We start from the raw sequence: 17,175 nt of genomic DNA, 5'->3' as shown, positions 1-17,175 counted from the left end.
CGTGGTAGCACACACCTGTAATCCCAGCTACTCGTGGGGCTGAGGCAGGAGAATAGCTTGAACCCGGGAGGCGGAGGTTGCAGTGAGCCAAGATCGCGTCACTGCACTTCAGCCTGGGTGACAGAGCAAGACTCTGTCTCAAAAAAAAAAAAAAAAGAGAAAAAGAAAAAAAAAGATAAAGACAAAAAAATCCATGCCAATTCCACATGGGGCAAGGAGTAGTTTTCTTTATCACTAACCAAGAATTTTCCATTTGCAAAGAGAGAAAGAGTGTTTTCCAGGGATCAAAAAAGACCAGAATTAATTTTTCCCCTGCCTGGTTTCCTGAGACCCCGAGGGTGGGTGGGTGTGCACGCACACGTGTGTATGTGGATATTGCGTGTATTGTGTGCACCCGTGCCTATGCGTGTGAAAAATCGGTAGCTCTGAGCCTCTCCTCCGTCCATCATCTCACCTGACCCTCCAGCAGCCCTAGAAGTACAGTGAGCCAGACGCTGCCATCTCCCCTTTCTGGACGAGAAGTTCAGAGATGTTCCAGAACTCCTCCCACTCACAGTCCCGCCCACCCTTCTGGGTCAGTGGAGGGATTTCCCTGGGTGCCCCCAGTAGAGGCAGGGCAAAAGGGCCACCCTCTGCCCTTGACATGGCTTCCTGGAACCACAGGGTCCCTGGGCTTCCCATCCCAGCAGGTGACACCCTGCCAGTCCTTGAGGCCTCCAGCCTACCGCTTCCTAATGCTCACTCCTGTTTCCAGAGAAGACAGCGCCAGGGGTCACTCCCTCCGCCCTCATTGGAAGGCCTGAGCTCACTGGCGGTGTAGTGCTGGAGCTGCTAGAGTGAGATGCGCTCAGGGAGCAGATGACATGTGGATGGGGAGAGCAGCCCACCCACCAGGCTGCAGAGACAGGATCCTGTGGGCCCCGGCGGGGCCTACGTACTGCTGGCCGCATGCTGGCCTCCACCCAGTTACAAGAGGGAAGCGTGGGCCACCTCCAATGCTGTTTACAGGAAAGGGCTCAGGAACCACAGGGGAAGGGGATCATGGCGTCCCTGTCTTCTGGTGGCCTGAAAAGGCTCCCTCTTTCTTAAAAAACATCTTCATCTGGCCGGGCACGGTGGCTCATGCCTGTAATCCCAGCACTTTGGGAGGCCAAGGCAGGCGGATTACCTGAGGTCAGGAGTTCAAGACTAGCCTGGCCAACATGGTGAAACCCCGTCTCTACTAAAAATTCAAAAATTAGACGGGCGTGGTAGCGTGTGCCTGTAGTCCCAGCTACTCGGGAGGCTGAGACGGAAGACTCACTTGAACCTGGGAGGCGGAGGCTGCAGTGAGCCAAGATCGTGCCACTGCACTCCAACCTGGCCGACAGAGCGAGACTCTGTCTCAAAAAAAAACAAAAAACAAAAAAAGGAAACATCATCACCTTCCTTTGTGTTCCCACGTGCTCTGAGTGGGCACTGCCCTCTGGCAACTGACTATCTGGACACCAGGAGAGTCACCTGTACTTGACCATCCTGGGACACCCGATGTTGGCTGCTCCAGGAGCCCCAGCTGGGCTCAGGCTGGGGTTGGCCTGCCGCATGCGGGTCCCTCTCCACAGCAGCCGGTAGGGGGCCCTTGGCAAGGGACATCAAAGAGATGCTGGGAAGTTCTTGCAGAGTGGCCCAAATTTCTCTTGCCTTAGTTGAGCCACAGAAAGAAAGATCTCATTACTTGTTTTAGACTTAAAGATCCCTGCAAGTCACCCCAGAGTCTCTCCCAACAATCCTGTTCCTTCATCTTAACTCACACTTCATCTTCCCAACCTTTCATCATTTCCTCCAGGAAGAAAGCTATTAAACTCTGCAGCCCAAACCCCACTTTCCCCAGAAATGATTTGAACCTTCCAATTCTACTGCATTATCATAATGAGGGGTATAATTTAATAGGGAGCTTTTCGAAGTATAAAGAAGTTACCTGCTGGTGTCACCGTGTGAGGACTAGGAACAGAAGATGCTCTGGGTGTGTCAGGCCTCCCTGCTCCCCCAGGTCTCCAGGGCACGCCTCTTAGCTGTGCCGGCTTCTGAGAAAGCCCCGCCCCGGGGAACAAAAGAATGTGTTCTGGAAGACACTGGGAATCCCATGGGCTCTCCGGGGACGGTCGCCCTCCCTGAAGTGTGAGGAGGAACCCAGGGGGGTGCATTTGGCCATGCTGGCGGCAGATCTTGCCGGAGCCTGGGGACTCGGGGACTCAATGGGGCAGAGATGTCGCCCCTTGCCTGGGTCTCTGGAGGGCGCTGCCCCATGGGCCTGGGGCAGGAGTGTGGTCACTGTGCTGGCCACACCTGGTCCCTGTGCTCACCCTCAGCATGAAGGCTGCCTCCCCGCCACCCTCTGCAAGCCCCTGCCCCTCCCTCCTTTACAGGGCTTGTCCCACCCACGCTCCTTCAGCCTCTATGTCTCCACTCCCGCCTGGCCCAATCTCTGCAGGCACCATCTTTGTCCTCTGTCCCCTCCAGGCCTCTGCCCGCCTGTCCTCCCAGTGGCCCTGCGGCACTGCTGCCTCAGTGTCCTCACACCAGCTGTGCTCAGACTGGCGGACCTCGGTGGAGCCCAAACTCATCACCTGCTTCCCCCGCGGGCCCCTCACTGCTCCTGAAGGCCCAACGCTCCTCCAGGATAGAAGCCCCCCGTCTGTCCCCCTCGCCCTGCGGCCCACTCCCCAAGCCCTGCCTCTGGGACCAGCTTGCCTCCTCCATGCCCCTCGGTGCCACCTGTGGCTGAGAGGGCAGCACCCCGTGCCCAGCTGATTTGCCAACTCCACACCAGGCATGTGTTAGCTCCGAAAATGACGTGCACAGAGGCACAGGCAGGTCCCCTCCCCATAGAGCTTCCACCTGCATGCCCATGCCAGGCCCAGGTCAAGAAGAGGCAAGGTCCCAATGCGTCCCAGGACATGCGCCCCTAGGCTGGCTCGAGGGCCTGGCGTGGGCAGCCTGTCCTCCAGGCGGCTCTCAGCCCTGCTTCACTCAGGGGTTTGCTGTCCTCTTACCCAGCTCTCCCACAAGGAAAGCTCTGCTCCCTCCTCACAGCTGAGCCCAGGTCCCAGCTCCCACGGCGCCCTTCCCTCTGAACCCTGCACATCACCACCCCATCCCCAACCTTCCTGCATTTACCCTGCAGTTCTTGCTAAAACACAAGGGCAGCGCCCACCCCCACCGCAGCAGCAGGGATTCAAATGCTCAGCTCAGGCGTGCCCTCCCCCGCTGACCCAAGAGTCCCCTTCTCTCTCTGCCGCTCCCACACAAGGACCCCTCTTCGGGGAGGCCTAATCCGGCAGTAAGCGCACCCACCATGGACCTGCCATGTGCCCAGCCGTTGTCAATGGTGTCCTCTTTCCTGTTTCACGGTGTTGCATCAGAACATGGGAGGCAGGCATGTGGGCCCCCAAGAGCTTCTGCTCAAGAATGGTCCAAAGAGCTAATACCACATGGCCACACAAACCCCACACAGCAACACAAACCCCACACAGCAACACAAACCTGATCTCACAGCACGCATGACCCTGCAAACCCCACACTTTCACACATGCAGCAACCCGCACACAAAGGCACAATTCACTTCAGAGATTACTTTTCAATTGACCCAATTTTGTCTTTAAAATGTCTTGAAACAATAAAGACGGAGACAACGATCTCTACTTTGGCATTTCATGACATTTGCTGCTTCCAGTGAACACAGGATGAAAGAGAAACCTGCATGAAGCCATTAGCCTGTCGAAGGCTAATGCAGCATTGCAAGATCAGTCCCATTTGACAGAGACATGGCCCACTGCCACGGGCCATTCTGTGAGCCAATGGGCAGGTTGAGGCCTGACGGACTCACTAAATGGGTCCTGGGTGTGAGTTCACTAGTGACTCAAGACAGCAATGGACTGGCCCAAAAGGATGCTGGAACTCCAAATGAAAGCATGCAGAAAAGCATGTCTATCAGGACTGGGTGCACAAACATCCTGCCAGCCGGGAAACAGCCCTTCCATTCCGACCACGCGCCAGGTGCTCGGCTGGGTGCAAAACCACGGCCTGAAACCCCCAGTAAGCACAGCAAGGGGGCTTCACAGGTGAGGGGCCTCCAGCAGGAGTCTACACCCTCCTGGAGAGAATGGAGGAAGCGTCACCCGGGAAGCAGCTGGTGCTCTCTGTTTTCAGGCCAAAGGGAAGGGCTGGGTGGCCAGGAGTAAAGCAAAGCGATTCCACCCACCTGCCCCAAAGTCTTGGCAGACGGAACCTCACGGGAACACCCCTCAGCCTCCTGGAGGGGCTGAGACCTCATCGTCATTAATAATGTGGTTCTTTCAGGTAAGAAAAAACTAGAAATGATAAATCTCCATGTGCAAACCCCATCTTCTCTCCGCCTCCTTCCAGGTATAATTCTAAAGCTGCCATTGATCTTTAAAGCAACCTTTAATTACCCTGAGACCCCAAAGTCCAAATAGGCCAAGGCTCGAGCTAAGGAGTATTTGCTTTGAGGCCTCTCATGAAGCAAATGAAAGGGACTCCAGGGGTCTACAGCCAGAGAGGCTGGGCACACCCTGGCACCAGCTTCCGAGGCCAGGGGACGGGTGAGGAGGGATGCCTCGCCGCTGCTTCTGCGCAGTGAAGCCTGCCTGGGTCTCTGCAGAGCACAGGGCTTTTGCTGCTGTTGTCTTTCCTACTCTGTAAATCACAGATGCCCAAGAGAACCTGTGATGTCTTTATTGCTTATCTCCTTATCAAAGATCCCTGAAGTCTGAGGCTAGTAGCATTTAGGGCGGCCTCCTAAGGGGCAGTGGGTGACTTCCAGACTCATCAGGTGGCCATACATGGGCTGAGACCACCTCCAAGTAGGGGCTGGGCCCAGGGGACCAGGTGGCCAGCTTGGAGGGGCTCAAAGGTCACGGACTGGAATTTGGTCCACTGTGCACACAGATCCTCACAGGTTACTCAGAAATGACCACACTCACCCCCTCCTCTGTGATGGGACACTGAGGACCCTGGAAAGAAGCCCAGGCCCATGAATGAAATGTGGCCCTTATGTCATCTACAGGCAGTACAGGGCAGTTCGGGAAACCTCGTCATGGTGGCTCAGCCAAAGGGAATGCACAGCCAGCCTCAATGGCACTTTGTGCAGCCTAGGAGCTGGGGTGACCTGCAGAGTCCACCCACCTCTCTCTTCCCACAGCCCCTCTGACCCTCTCACACTCTCATCCCCAGCTCCTCATCCCCAGTGCCCCTCATGTGTTACCAGGGAAGCATCTGCTAACTAAGTCTCCACCAGACGAGCAGGGCACGCCTCTTGCCTTGAGGGCCATGGGCCTGTGTGCTCTGTGTTGAGTGATGTGTTTGCACATGTGCATGTCAGCGAGCTGAGGGGACATCTGAGGGATGGACATGGCAGGACACCTCAAGGCTGGATGCGGTGGGGACACCTGAGGGGCAGGCACGGCAGGACACCCGAGGGGCGGGCGCAGTGCGACATCCTAGAAGAAGGGCAGAGAACCCAGAGCCCAGCATTCTGAGCTCCAGCTCCAAGCCACGAACCTCACAAAGCAGCCGAATCCCCACAACCATCCTTAACGTGGGAATTAACCCTAGTGAGAAAACCATGTTTACACATATTGAAAAGAACATGCAAAATACAAAAAAAAAAAAATTTTTTTTCAAACAAGAAAATAAAATATCCATAACTCTACTAATGAAAACTAAGTCAGGCTAGCACCGTGGTTTGTTTCTGTTCGGTCTTTCTGTCCACGCGTGGAATAGAAGCAAATCTGGGATCATTTTTATCTGTATTACATATGTCGATATATACAATTTCAGGTCATGCTTTTCCTCCACATAGAAACGCAATGAAAACATTTGCTCGTTTCAGTAAATATTACTTGAAGATGTAATTTTTGGTAGTTATGAAACATTATAACCAGCCATGTACCATAACTTAGGTAACTGTACCCCGAGAGCTGGATATGCAGGCTGCTGCCAATTTGTTTTTCCATAATTATAAACAAGGAGAATTACTGGATCGAGGAAAGGCTCTTGATATAAATTATTAATAGCTCTGCAGAAACGCTGTGTATCACACCCCTCATCAGAATGAAACAGCATGCCTGCTTTACGCCAACTTCATCCACTTCCAGGAGGCCCCTCGCTAAAAGCGGTGCTTATTTGAGAGAGCATTTGCTTCCATTTTCGATTCTTTACTAATGATTGGAAGAAACACTTACATTTTCTGGATAGCTACATAAATTCTCATGTGGGTTTCTGACTGTTCCGATTGTCCTCATCCATTTTCTATGAGGACATTTTCTTTTTATTAGTTATTTGTGTGAGTTCTCTGCATATTAAGGATATAAGCTACGTTGTGAATGAAGAACTTTGTCAACTGCCTTTGAATTTTGTTTATGATGTTTCTGGTAGACGGATATTTCCAACTTCTATGTTGTGCTTAAAACGTGCCACTCTAGAGTGAACTGGCATTTTCTTGGGCTAGGCACCTGGGGCTCTCTGGCCATATTAAGTTAACTTGTTAGCATAGGGTTTTTCAGACATAAAAGTAAAGTAACTTCTAGACCTAAATGAGTGAAAGGGTGAGCTGGGGTCAGGAATTTTCAGAGGAGACCTGCTTTTATTCCTCTTCCCTTCAGAGCTAAGCCTCAGGCAAGCATGAACCTACAAGGGCCATTTTGTCTGTCTGTCCTGGTTCACTTGCTTGGGTTCAGGGGTCCTGACGTAGGCAAAGGGTCTCTGACTCACATCCACCTGCTCCAGCCCCAGGCCTTCTACCCTGCCCTCTGCCAGGCTGCTTACACTGGGGACCTGGTCCCAGAGCAGGAAGCAGCAGACACCTTCAGGGCAAACACTAGTTCTAGGGCTGGCTTACTCTTCTCAAGAGCCCATGAACTTAAAAAGCATTTTGTTAATATCCATGTTGTGTGTGCGTGTGTGTGTGCATGCAGACTGTATGGGGAGAGGACAAGGAGCCTTCGCTGAACATTTGTTCATCATGTTACAAAAACAGAAGAAATCGTCCTGATCTCAGTGGGGCTGTCTCTAGCATTTCCCTAGGTACTGGTGGTTGTTGATTTAAAATGTTCTTAGCATGTTAATAAAGTATTAATTTTAGTTCTACTTAAGGGCAGAAGTTTTTTTCTTTTCATTAAACTCAGGAAAAGCTACTGAATCTCTTAAGGTATCATGGGATTGAGGGCCTCTGGTTTATTGATAGGATATTTTTATTAATAGTGCAAGCCGGACAGAGTTACAGGTGTGCTGGCCTGATCTCTGAGGCTAACTCTAGGCTGGCATCCAGGAGCATGGCTACATTCCAGTGGTATTTTTATGGGATATTTTTTATTTTATAATATTGATGAAGGCAGGCCTCATGAATGGGATGGGTGCCGTGAAGGAGGCTGATGGGAGCGCCCAGCCCTCTTGCCCTCCTACCTTCCACCACATAAGGATGCAGTAACGAGGCGCCCTGGACAGACACCAGAGGCCGACGCCTTGATCTTGAACTTCCAGTCTCCAGAACAGTGAGAAATACATTTCCATTGTTTATAAATTACCCAGTCTAGGCCTGGCACGATGGCTCATGCCTGTAATCCCAGCATTTTGGGAGGCTGAGGCGGGCGGATTACGAGGTCAGGAGTTCGAGACCAGCCTGGCCAACATAGTGAAACCCTGTCTCTACTAAAAATACAAAAATTAGCCGGGCGTGCTGCCACGTGCCTGTAGTCCCAGCTACTCAGGAGGCTGAGGCAGGAGAATCACTTGAACCCAGGAGGTGGAGGCTGCAGCGAGCCGAGATCGCCCCACTGTACACCAGCCCGGGTGACAGTGTGAGACTTCGTCTCAAAAAAAAAAAAAAAATTACCCAGTCTAAGGTAGTTTGTTATAACAGCAGGAATGGACTAAGACACTCCATATATGTGGAGAGAGAAACTGGCAGATGTGGGATCCTGCACAGAAGTCACTGATGATTCAGCTGAGACAGGGTGCTGGGAGCCATGTGTCCGGGTGGCCAGCTCTGTGAGACGGAGTGCCAAGCCTGCTGCTTCTTTCCAGCGGGGCAGGTCACACAGCATAAGGATTTTTGAAACTGAACAAATTTACTAGGAAGACATTTTCTGGCCTTAGAATCATATTTAAAACCAAGACTTTTGGCAATGTTTGGATTTACTCCCAAATTATAAGTCTATTCAAGTTTTATTTTATTTTATTTTGAGATGGAGTCTTGCTGTCGCAAGGCTGGACTGCAGTGGTGTGGTCTCGGCTCACTGCAACCTCTGCCTCCCTGGTTCAAACGATTCTCCTGCCTCAGCCTCCCAAGTAGCTGGGATTACAGGCATGCGCCACCACACCTGGCTAATTTTTGTATTTTTAGTAGAGATGGGGTTCCACCACGTTGGCCAGGATGGTCTCAGTCTCCTGACCTCATGATCACGCGCCTCGGCCTTCCAAAGTGCTGGGATTACAGGCGTGAGCCACCGCACCTGGCCAGGTTGGGCTTTTTTTAAAGCTTATCTTGAGGCAAGTTTAGCATTTTTTAAATGTATGTGTGTGTGTGTGTGTGTGTGTAAATTCCTCTTTCCTAACACAGAGGAGGACTATGTTTTCAGCCATCTATCTCGGTCCTCCTTGCTGGAGGTCTGCCTATTTCACTAACATTTCCAACTGCCCCTCTAAGATGTACTTAGGAATTCTACATAAAAACCCTGTCTTCTAATCTATTCATTTGCTTTTACTCATTCATTCTTTTATTGTCTTTATCATAAGTTGTCTTTATTTTTCTATTTTTAACTTCTTGGTTAAAGGCTTAGTTTACTTGTTTTAATATTTTTAATTAATAAAAGCATTGCATCTTTGAATCTGTTTGCAAGCCCAGCACTGGCACATTCCTTGTGCTTTTGAACATCCTTCTGTAATTACAGGGTCATTTCCACTGTGACCCACATTATTTTGAAGGGGGTTCTTTAACATCCAAATGCTTGGTTTTTCATTTTAACTTTATTATGATCTAATTTTAAAGTATTATGCTCAGTGAACAAAGTTTATGTCATTGCTGTTTTTTTATTTTGGAAATGTTTATGGCCTAGGTTGGGTGATTACTTTTTGTAAGTATTCCATAAATACTTAGAAAGAAGATGCATTCTTTGTTGGTACAAATTCCACCCAGAACTCCCAAACCACTCCTTTTTTATGCCATTCAGATTCACAATCCACCTTATTTTTTATGTATTTTTTTTGAGACGGAGTCTCACTCTGTCGCCCCGGCTGGAGTGCAGTGGTGTCATCTCGGCTCACTGCAACCTCAGCCTCCCAGGTTCAAGTGATTCTCTTACCTCAGCTTCCCCAGTAGCTGGGATTATAGGCGCCCACCAGCATGCCCAGCTAATTTTTGTATTTTTGGTAGAGACAAGGTTTCACTATGTTGGTCAGGCTGGTCTCGAACTCCTAACCTCAGGTGATCCGCCCGCCTCTGCCTCCCAAAGTGCTGGGATTACAGGCAAGAGCCATCGTGCTCAGCCCCCGCCTTATTTTTAATCCAACTAAATATGCTTAAACTTTCCTCCTATGGTTGCTTCACTGAATATCTTTGTATGTTTTATACAGTTTTAAATTCAAGTTTAATACAAAGACAGGAAAGTGCACAGATCACAGCCTCTACAAGGAGGTTTCCGACGAAGCTGGCGCTGGGCTCCTGTGCTCCCGGGAGCGTCCTGCTTTCCTCGCTCCTGCGGCCGCTGCCAGACCCTTGTTGGGAGAAGGCCAAGGTGTGGGGTGACTCTCCCTGCTCGATGCCACGGTGTGGGGTGACTCTCCCTGCTCGATGCCACGGTGTGGGGTGACTCTCCCTGCTCGATGCCACGGTGTGGGGTGACTCTCCCTGCTCGATGCCACGGTGTGGGGTGACTCTCCCTGCTCGATGCCACGGTGTGGGGTGACTCTCCCTGCTCGATGCCACGGTGTGGGGTGACTCTCCCTGCTCGATGCCACGGTGTGGGGTGACTCTCCCTGCTCGATGCCACGGTGTGGGGTGACTCTCCCTGCTCGATGCCACGGTGTGGAGTGACTCCCTGCTCTACCCAGTGTTTTCTTCTTGAAATCCGAGGACACAATTTTTCCTGCTTCCTCCATGCGCCATCCTGCCCCGTCCCTGCTCGTCTTTTCATATTGCTCATGGCTGCTTATATTCTAGCTGCCAATCCACCCGCGGCGCCAAGTTCACCAAATCACTTCACATTGCAGAGCAGGCTGTTACAAATCCACTGTTACGGGAAGGCCACCCCATCCTCTCTTTGCCTCGCTCCCCAACTGGCTCCCCTCTCCCCCATCTATCACTTCTATTCCCTGGTCCCTGCCCACCTGCCGACCCCCGCAGAGCAGTCCCTTCATGCACCTGCCCCTCCCGACTCGCCCTGCCCCTTGAGAGCAGAACCTGACAGCACAGGGCCTGGCTCAGGGCGAGGGTTCCAGGGGCATTCAATGAAGGAATGAACAGACCAGCTGAGGCTGTGAAGCCCACGGTCACAAAGCCAGACTGAGCCCCTCAACCTAGGCACTGCACACACCTGTGTGTGTTTGGCTTCCCCACTGAGCAGCTGGCAGATTCACACAACTCAGTCCCAGAGCCAAAGGGGACAAAGGTGAAGGCTCCCAGGCTGGGCAGCTCGGGCTGGCACCTGCTGGTCCTTCCCATGCAGCCCATCCAGCAGCTGGGGCTCCCACAGAGATGCAGGGCCCAGGGCCAGGCGGCCACAGACTGCCCGGAGCATGCTTCCAGAGCAAGGGCCCCAGCCTTCCACGATGCCGCTCTGGTGCCTCCTCGCCGCCTGCACCAGCCTCCCAAGGCAGGCAGCCACCATGCTGGAGGAAGCTGCTTCTCCCAACGAGGCTGTCCACGCATCAACATCAGGCAGTGGCGCACTCACTGATCAGACATTTACAGACCTCTCAGCTGCCGAGGCCTCCTCAGAGGAGGTTCCTGACTTCATGGAGGTGCCACACTCTGTTCACCATAAAATTAACTGCTTTTTCTACTTAGAAAAACAACTCTGCCAACTGCCGTCCCCACTGTGTCTAAGCAGCTTGCTTACTTTAAAATTAAAAACAACGGTCCCAGCTCCTGGCAGGTGGTGGAGCTTCCAGCCTCACAAGGCATTCCCACTTCTGGTGGGCACTCCTGGAAGCTGGCAGAGCACAATCGATCCCGCGTGGGCGGCCCCCTCTCAGCCAAGCCCAGGGTGAGGGCAGTGGGGCTCCAAGGAGGGGAAGCTGGCGAGGATGGGGGCCGGCGGGGAGAGGGCGGCCTGCAGGGCGTTTAGCAGTTGGACCCCCAGTCCCCTGGGAAGCCAAACTGAGAGGTTTAGACTTGGGGGGTAAAATGGATAAATGAAGATGTTCCGGGATAGCTTATTTTCTAATTTTACAATGCCGTGCTTATTAATCAGGAAAAGATCCCAGTAATGCCGACATCAGGCACTTAAACTACACCCCCAGCCGGTCAGAATGGGCACAGGACATGGCTCAGTTCTGGTTTTGCGCTCGTGTCCCAGCAGTGGGGGCCACAGAAGGTTTCCGCGTGGGTCATGACATGCTGGAGCTGGCCTTTCTAGCACTCACCGTGCCACGTGTGCCTGAGGAGGGTCTGCAGGCCCAATCAGCAGGGGCGGGTGGCAGGTTCCTAACAGAGGGGACAGCGGATCCCAAGGGAAAGCAGGGTCCCTGCTCGCCTCACCCCTGCTGGGCCCCAGTGTCCTCTTACTGTGAAATGACCCACAGAGGGCAAGGACGGGGTAGAGGGCACCAAGCGGGCACCGCGGGACACACAACTTTCCACACAAGCATGCTCCTTTCACCCCCAAGACCCTACGAAAGTCTGGTGGGAGAGTGGCAGATGGAAGGCACAGTCCATGCTGTGAGGGCTGAGGCTTGAATCTCAGTGGCTAAAGGGGCGGGGCAGGGCTCAGCGGAGAGGCCCCACTGGACATCAACATGTGGAGCCGGGGGTGGGGTGGTGGGGGGCATTAGGAAACGCCCAGGGCAGGGCTGTGGAGCCACATACATATAGCCTGCGGATTAGCAATGCAGATGGCATGGGGCATGTGCCTGAGGGCAACCACCCTTCCTGAGGACCAGCAAGCTCTGGCAGGGGAGGTGGCAAAGTGGCAATCCTCCAGAGAAGCACACACCTCCTGGGGCCCAGCGCTCAGGACAGGGCCAACGTTCACTCCAGAAGGTGCCGCCATCCAGGGGCCAGGAGGCCCAGAGTGCAGCACCAATCCCAGCTGTGCCCCTCTCCGCCCCACCTCACCTCACCCCGCCCCGCCCCGCCCCACCACTCCCTGCTCCCCGAGCCCTGCCCAGCAGGCCCTGGAGGTGGCTCACAGATGGCAAGGAAGCAAACCATGCCCGCATGAGGCTCAAAGGCCAAGGGGACCTAGGACACAGGCAGCGCCCTCACCTTCCCCGCCTGCCCAAGTTTTCGGGAATTAAGGGGCAGCGTGACCCATCGCCCCCTCCCTGGCCCCTGAACTGCTTGGCTCTGCTGTTTAACAACAGGAGGGTCTCTGCCTTTCTTCTGGGAATCAGAAAAGGATTCTGTTCCTGTGGAAAAATGACTTAAAGCCACACATCATTTCCCAAGGGACAAATCACAAGGCTGCAACAAATGAGGGCTTTTAAAGCCGCTTTCCACCAACGTTCCACTGTTGGGGAATCATGTTCTGGGCCCTACTCGCTCAGGTGGCCTCCCATGGATGCGGAAGCGTCTTCCTAAAATGTCACAACTGCACACACACATTCCCCGTGCTCACCAGGACTCCTCAGGTTTGTAACTTCTGTTTCTCACCTCCTTTCCCATTGGGTTCAGTGCCCACAACACATTGTGGCACTCACAGCATTCTCTCCATCCAACCCCTCACTCACAGCATTCTCTCCATCCAACCCCTATGGCATCAAAGAACCAACTTCCTCTTCCTCTAAAGGAAGAAAATCAATCTCATGGCTCCTCTGCCAGCGCCTCCTCCCGGTTCCCCACTCAAGTCACAGGGGCCCCACAGGCTCTCAGAGTGTGCACTCCACCCCACACCCTGCACCCCACACCCCACACCCCACACCCCACACCCTGGCCGTGTGGCTTTGCCTGACTCCTGTCCTCCCTTCATCTCAAGTTAAGTAGGCCGGGCTCAGAGAAGGCTGGCCAAACATTTTAATCAGCTGCCCACGCTGCACCCTCTAATAGCAGCAGAGCAATGTCTCCGGCCCAACAGCAAACACAATGTATCCCTCACAGAAAAGCCCAATGAGCTGCGGCAGGGTGAGGAATGAGGGCACCTTGTCACTTGCATCTGTCAAGGCTGCCATCAATTCCGTTTCTTGGTCCAAGTCTGCCCCTGCCAGTGGCCCCTGGATGGGACCACCACATGACAGGGTGGTAGGAGGCCCACTGCCCACCCAACACCACCCTCTCATGACCCACCTCCCCCAGACCTAGCTCAGGTACCCTGGCATCCACAGCTGTCCCTATCTCCTGTCCTTCACCCTGAGGGGCTCATGGCCTGCTTCAGCCTCCAGGGCCGGAGTGACACTTCTGCACGTATTCACAACAGGAAGAAACCCCGCCCACAAGCTCCCACGGCCAGTGTGTGTCTGGTCTGCCTCGAGCCACCTTGTGACACTGTCCCTATTTGGGAGCAGACAGAAGAAATGGAGTCGTCAATGGAGGCACAGCCTTTTGCTGAAGGTCAATCATTTCTTTACTGTTCTCTCTCCCCAACCAGAATGTGCTCAGGGTCCATTCCTCGCATATGTGTGGCTTAGAGTCTGCCCAGAGTGGGGCCCAGGGTGATTTCTGGAGACGATGAGACATGGTCTGTTGTTAGCATGGGCCTGAGCACAGTGCCCTGCAGCTTCAGGCACACCCCGAGTCCTCTCCCACCCCACCTCCCACCACCAGGCATGGCTGACCCAGGAGGGCAGCAATGTCTGCCCAGGGCCTCCAGGGAACAGAGCTCCCCAGCCAGCCAGTCACAGACACCACCGAGGCAGGAACATCCAAGCTCCATGGCCAGCCCAGTGACTGACTCTCGGCAGCCAGCCGCCTTCATTTGGAGAGCAAGTCCCCTGGGAGGCTCTCCGGGAGGCAGCATACAGTTGTGTGTGCTGGCCGGTGGGAACCAAGCACTCTGGGCACCGTCCTACCAGGAGTGGCCGCTGTGCACCAGAGAGGCTGGGCCCTTCTCCCTACAGGTAAGTGGCCAGGCCAGTGGGTGCCTGCTGCCTGCCCAGCCAGCACTGCTCTCTGCACAGATGGAGAGCCTACTGTGGAGGACAGCAGGAGGCTGGCCAGGAGACCGCAGTCTAGGCCCCATTCATTCCATCTTACTTGGTGACACAGCAAGTCATGGCCCCTCTTATCGCCTCCACATTCCCCTGTGCAAAGTGACGAGTGGGCCAGATGGGCCAGGAGGCCCCAGCCCCAGCAGCCTTGCATCAGCCGGGCGGAGGGGCAGGCCAGGTGCACCCTACTCACTTACAGACCATGGCTGGGAGAGGCAAGGCAGGCGTGTGTCTGAGATTGAGATGCCAATCACCGCCTCAATGCTCCCCGCAGGGCACAACCGAGCCCCACACTGACAAAAAGGCAGGAGCTAAGTTAGCAGAAGGAGCGTCTTGTCCCATCCACCTGCGAACACCCGGGCTGGGTTCCATCTGCTGGGCCAGGATCTGTTGGCAGCTCTTGGCCTCGGTATGGCCCTCACCTGTCTGGTCTCTCCTGGGGCCGAGATGAAGCGGGGCGGCAGGAGGTCCCTGGCTCCTCCCAAGGCCCTCGGAAGGAATAGGGATGCTTGGAGCCTCTGCCAAGCACAGAGCTGGGGAACAACAGGCTGCCAGCTGCGCAGAGCACTGCCCTGGGGACCTAGGTCCGTCCCTTTATCTGAGAGACGAGAGCCTCGAGAAGGGAGAGCGGTGAAGTGTGGCTGACCCCAGCCAGCTGGTGCAGAGCCTGGTCTGCTTCCCACTGCTGGGGTCTTCCTTGCTGCACCCAGAGCCCTCTGCTGGGTGAACACTGGGCAGAAGGACTTCCCAGCCCGCACCTTGGGGAACAGTGGGTATCACCCCATGAAGGGGCCAACAGTCCACAGTGTGCCCGGGACGCCTCACAGAGGAACACGTGGGGTGGGTCAGGGGCTGGACACTAGTCCACAGGGAGTCCCACAGGTCAAGCACGGAGCCTAGCAGGGCGTGCCTCTGACGCGTGGCATGCGAGGAGGGCTCTCCTGCTAAGTCGCCAGGGACTAGCTTAGTGAGGCTGAACAATGTGCCCCCAGTCACAGAGCTTCCAGTGGCCTGGCTGGAAGGCACCCCAGGCTGTGTGATTTCTTGCCCAGCCCTGTCCCTAAAGCATCACAGTCCACGTGCTGTAAAGAGGGTTCCAGGGACCAGAGGTCACAAGCCGCACACTGCAGGGGTCGTGCTGCTGAGGGGCACGCTGCCCCAGGGAAGGTTCTGCAGGGAGCTTGTCACACAGCCACATCTAATAACTCATAACGTGGGCAGCGTTTCCACTGCTGTGACCACGTGACCACTGCCAGGCTCATCTCCTCAGCTGGACGAGCTTTCAACCAGCAGGAGGTCAGCGGCGAAATGCAGGCAGCGCTTCTCAAAACTCTTCCACAAATAACCCTGTGAACTAAAATGTAATAAACCTCTCTCCTAGTAGAAAATCAAACTTGGGTTCTTTTGAAAAGACATTTACTTACTTGAAAATCTTTTTCTTCTAGTATTTCCTTCCTCCATCTCACGAGAAAAGCAGCGCACACGTACAAGTGGAAATGAGAAAAGCCGTCCGGTTCAGACTAAAAGAGAAAAAATAACCAAGAGAGAAATTGTAACGCGTGACCCATTAACATCACTGCGAGGTTATCTGCGACAGTCAGGGTTTATCTAGTCAGGGTTCAGAGGAAACCAAAGCTTGTGTTGACTCACTTTTACTTAATGCCTTAATTTCAAAATCCTCATTCCATTAAAACAAACACCATTTTCTCTTTAAGTTCCAGCAGCCTGATAAACAGCATGTGAACAGCAGACCAAGCTTCAGACAGCCTCAGAAGCGGTTGTTCATTCTTCTCTCTTGCGCAGACAATAGCCAAAAAGGATAAGAGACAAATTCAACGTGTGCTGGTGCCATGCCAGACACAGAGTCTACTCCTCACAAAGGGCGCGTGAGGGAGGCCTCCTCCCACTCCACAGATGAGGAAACAAGGCTGAGCCCAGTCAAGCCGGAGATCAGGCACTGGGCCTGGGACCACAACCCGGTCCGGGTCTCCCTGGGAAATGAACAGGGAAATGATGCTACTCGGAAGCCACGGACGCGGAAGGACACGGCTCACGCCCCTCAAATCACCACCCATGTCTCTCCTCACTGTCATCAAACAAGGCTTCCCTGCTCCCCCTTCTTGAGATATCTACCCCTTACTCATCCCGGAAACCCAGGACCACTGTCAGCTCCCAGAGGCCCTCCCACACCGAGGCTCGGGGCTTGCACACCTTGGGGCTATGGTGTTAGTTCAAGCACGCACGGCCAACTGCAAAGACTGAGGGTTCCCCAAACTCCAGTTCTTGGGGTGCTACCTTCTCTGCCTTGCCCATGCAACATCTATAGGACTACTGTCAGTGGTTCATTAAGTAAACAAATCCAATGCACAGTGCATTAGATGGTGATGTGCTATGGAGAAAACAAGGCAAAGACTGGGACGAGGAACAGCAAGGGGGTTTGTGTGTGAAGAGAGGGATGCCACTTCAGTACAACGGTCAATCGCCTAAGGTGACAAATGAGCAAACATCCAAAGAGAAAAAAGGCGTTTATTATTATTATTTTCTTTATTGAGATGGAATTTCGCTCTGTTGCCCAGGCTGGAGGGTAGTAGTGTGATCTTGGCTCACTGCAACCTCCACCTCCTGGTTTCAAGCAATGTTCCTGTCTCAGTCTCCCGAGTAGCTGGGATTACAGACGTGCGCCACCACACCTGGCTAATTTTGTATTTTTAGTAGAGACGGGGTTTCACCATGTTGGCCAGGCTGGTCTCGAACTCCTGACCTCCGGTGATCCACTCGCCTCAGCCTCCCGAAGTGCTGGGATTACAAGTGTGAGCC

General features: G+C 53.7%; 2 protein-coding genes across 13 annotated transcripts in view, besides 5 other annotated features; one reads left to right on the top strand and one right to left on the bottom strand.

Moving 5' to 3' along the window:
- The window catches only part of TBC1D22A (TBC1 domain family member 22A), a 413,050-nt gene that overhangs the window by 48,314 nt on the left and 347,561 nt on the right, over positions 1-17,175 (bottom strand). For 8 of the 12 annotated variants that reach the window (NR_104292.1, NM_001284304.2, XM_017028742.3 and 5 more), the window contains 1 exon segment: positions 15,783-15,878. Coding sequence is in view for 10 of the 12 variants with exons in the window: in NM_001284304.2 (NP_001271233.1) it covers positions 15,783-15,878 (96 nt within the window). In the remaining 2 variants the exon portion in view is untranslated. 12 annotated transcript variants of the gene reach the window in all.
- Positions 344-1,029: an enhancer, noted in NCBI's record as "H3K4me1 hESC enhancer chr22:47522253-47522938 (GRCh37/hg19 assembly coordinates)". NCBI's record gives its function as "activates a minimal SCP1, AML or CMV promoter by ChIP-STARR-seq in naive and primed H9 embryonic stem cells {active_cell/tissue: H9 hESC(naive and primed)}" and the evidence as "EXISTENCE:reporter gene assay evidence [ECO:0000049][PMID:30033119]".
- Positions 1,030-1,717: an enhancer, noted in NCBI's record as "H3K4me1 hESC enhancer chr22:47521565-47522252 (GRCh37/hg19 assembly coordinates)". NCBI's record gives its function as "activates a minimal SCP1, AML or CMV promoter by ChIP-STARR-seq in primed H9 embryonic stem cells {active_cell/tissue: H9 hESC(primed)}" and the evidence as "EXISTENCE:reporter gene assay evidence [ECO:0000049][PMID:30033119]".
- Positions 3,094-3,780: an enhancer, noted in NCBI's record as "H3K27ac-H3K4me1 hESC enhancer chr22:47519502-47520188 (GRCh37/hg19 assembly coordinates)". NCBI's record gives its function as "activates a minimal SCP1, AML or CMV promoter by ChIP-STARR-seq in primed H9 embryonic stem cells {active_cell/tissue: H9 hESC(primed)}" and the evidence as "EXISTENCE:reporter gene assay evidence [ECO:0000049][PMID:30033119]".
- LOC124905139 (uncharacterized protein UNQ6126/PRO20091) lies at positions 10,792-11,265 on the top strand. The gene has a single exon (XM_047441698.1). The coding sequence runs from the start codon at positions 10,792-10,794 to the stop codon at positions 11,263-11,265; it is 474 nt and encodes a 157-aa protein (XP_047297654.1).
- Positions 11,394-11,893: an enhancer, noted in NCBI's record as "H3K4me1 hESC enhancer chr22:47511389-47511888 (GRCh37/hg19 assembly coordinates)". NCBI's record gives its function as "activates a minimal SCP1, AML or CMV promoter by ChIP-STARR-seq in naive H9 embryonic stem cells {active_cell/tissue: H9 hESC(naive)}" and the evidence as "EXISTENCE:reporter gene assay evidence [ECO:0000049][PMID:30033119]".
- Positions 11,894-12,395: an enhancer, noted in NCBI's record as "H3K4me1 hESC enhancer chr22:47510887-47511388 (GRCh37/hg19 assembly coordinates)". NCBI's record gives its function as "activates a minimal SCP1, AML or CMV promoter by ChIP-STARR-seq in naive H9 embryonic stem cells {active_cell/tissue: H9 hESC(naive)}" and the evidence as "EXISTENCE:reporter gene assay evidence [ECO:0000049][PMID:30033119]".

This window comes from Homo sapiens, chromosome 22, assembly GCF_000001405.40.
Source record: "Homo sapiens chromosome 22, GRCh38.p14 Primary Assembly".
NCBI lineage: Eukaryota > Metazoa > Chordata > Mammalia > Primates > Hominidae > Homo > Homo sapiens.
Note: the sequence above shows the minus strand (reverse complement) of the source record. Positions and strands in the feature narration are given on the sequence as shown.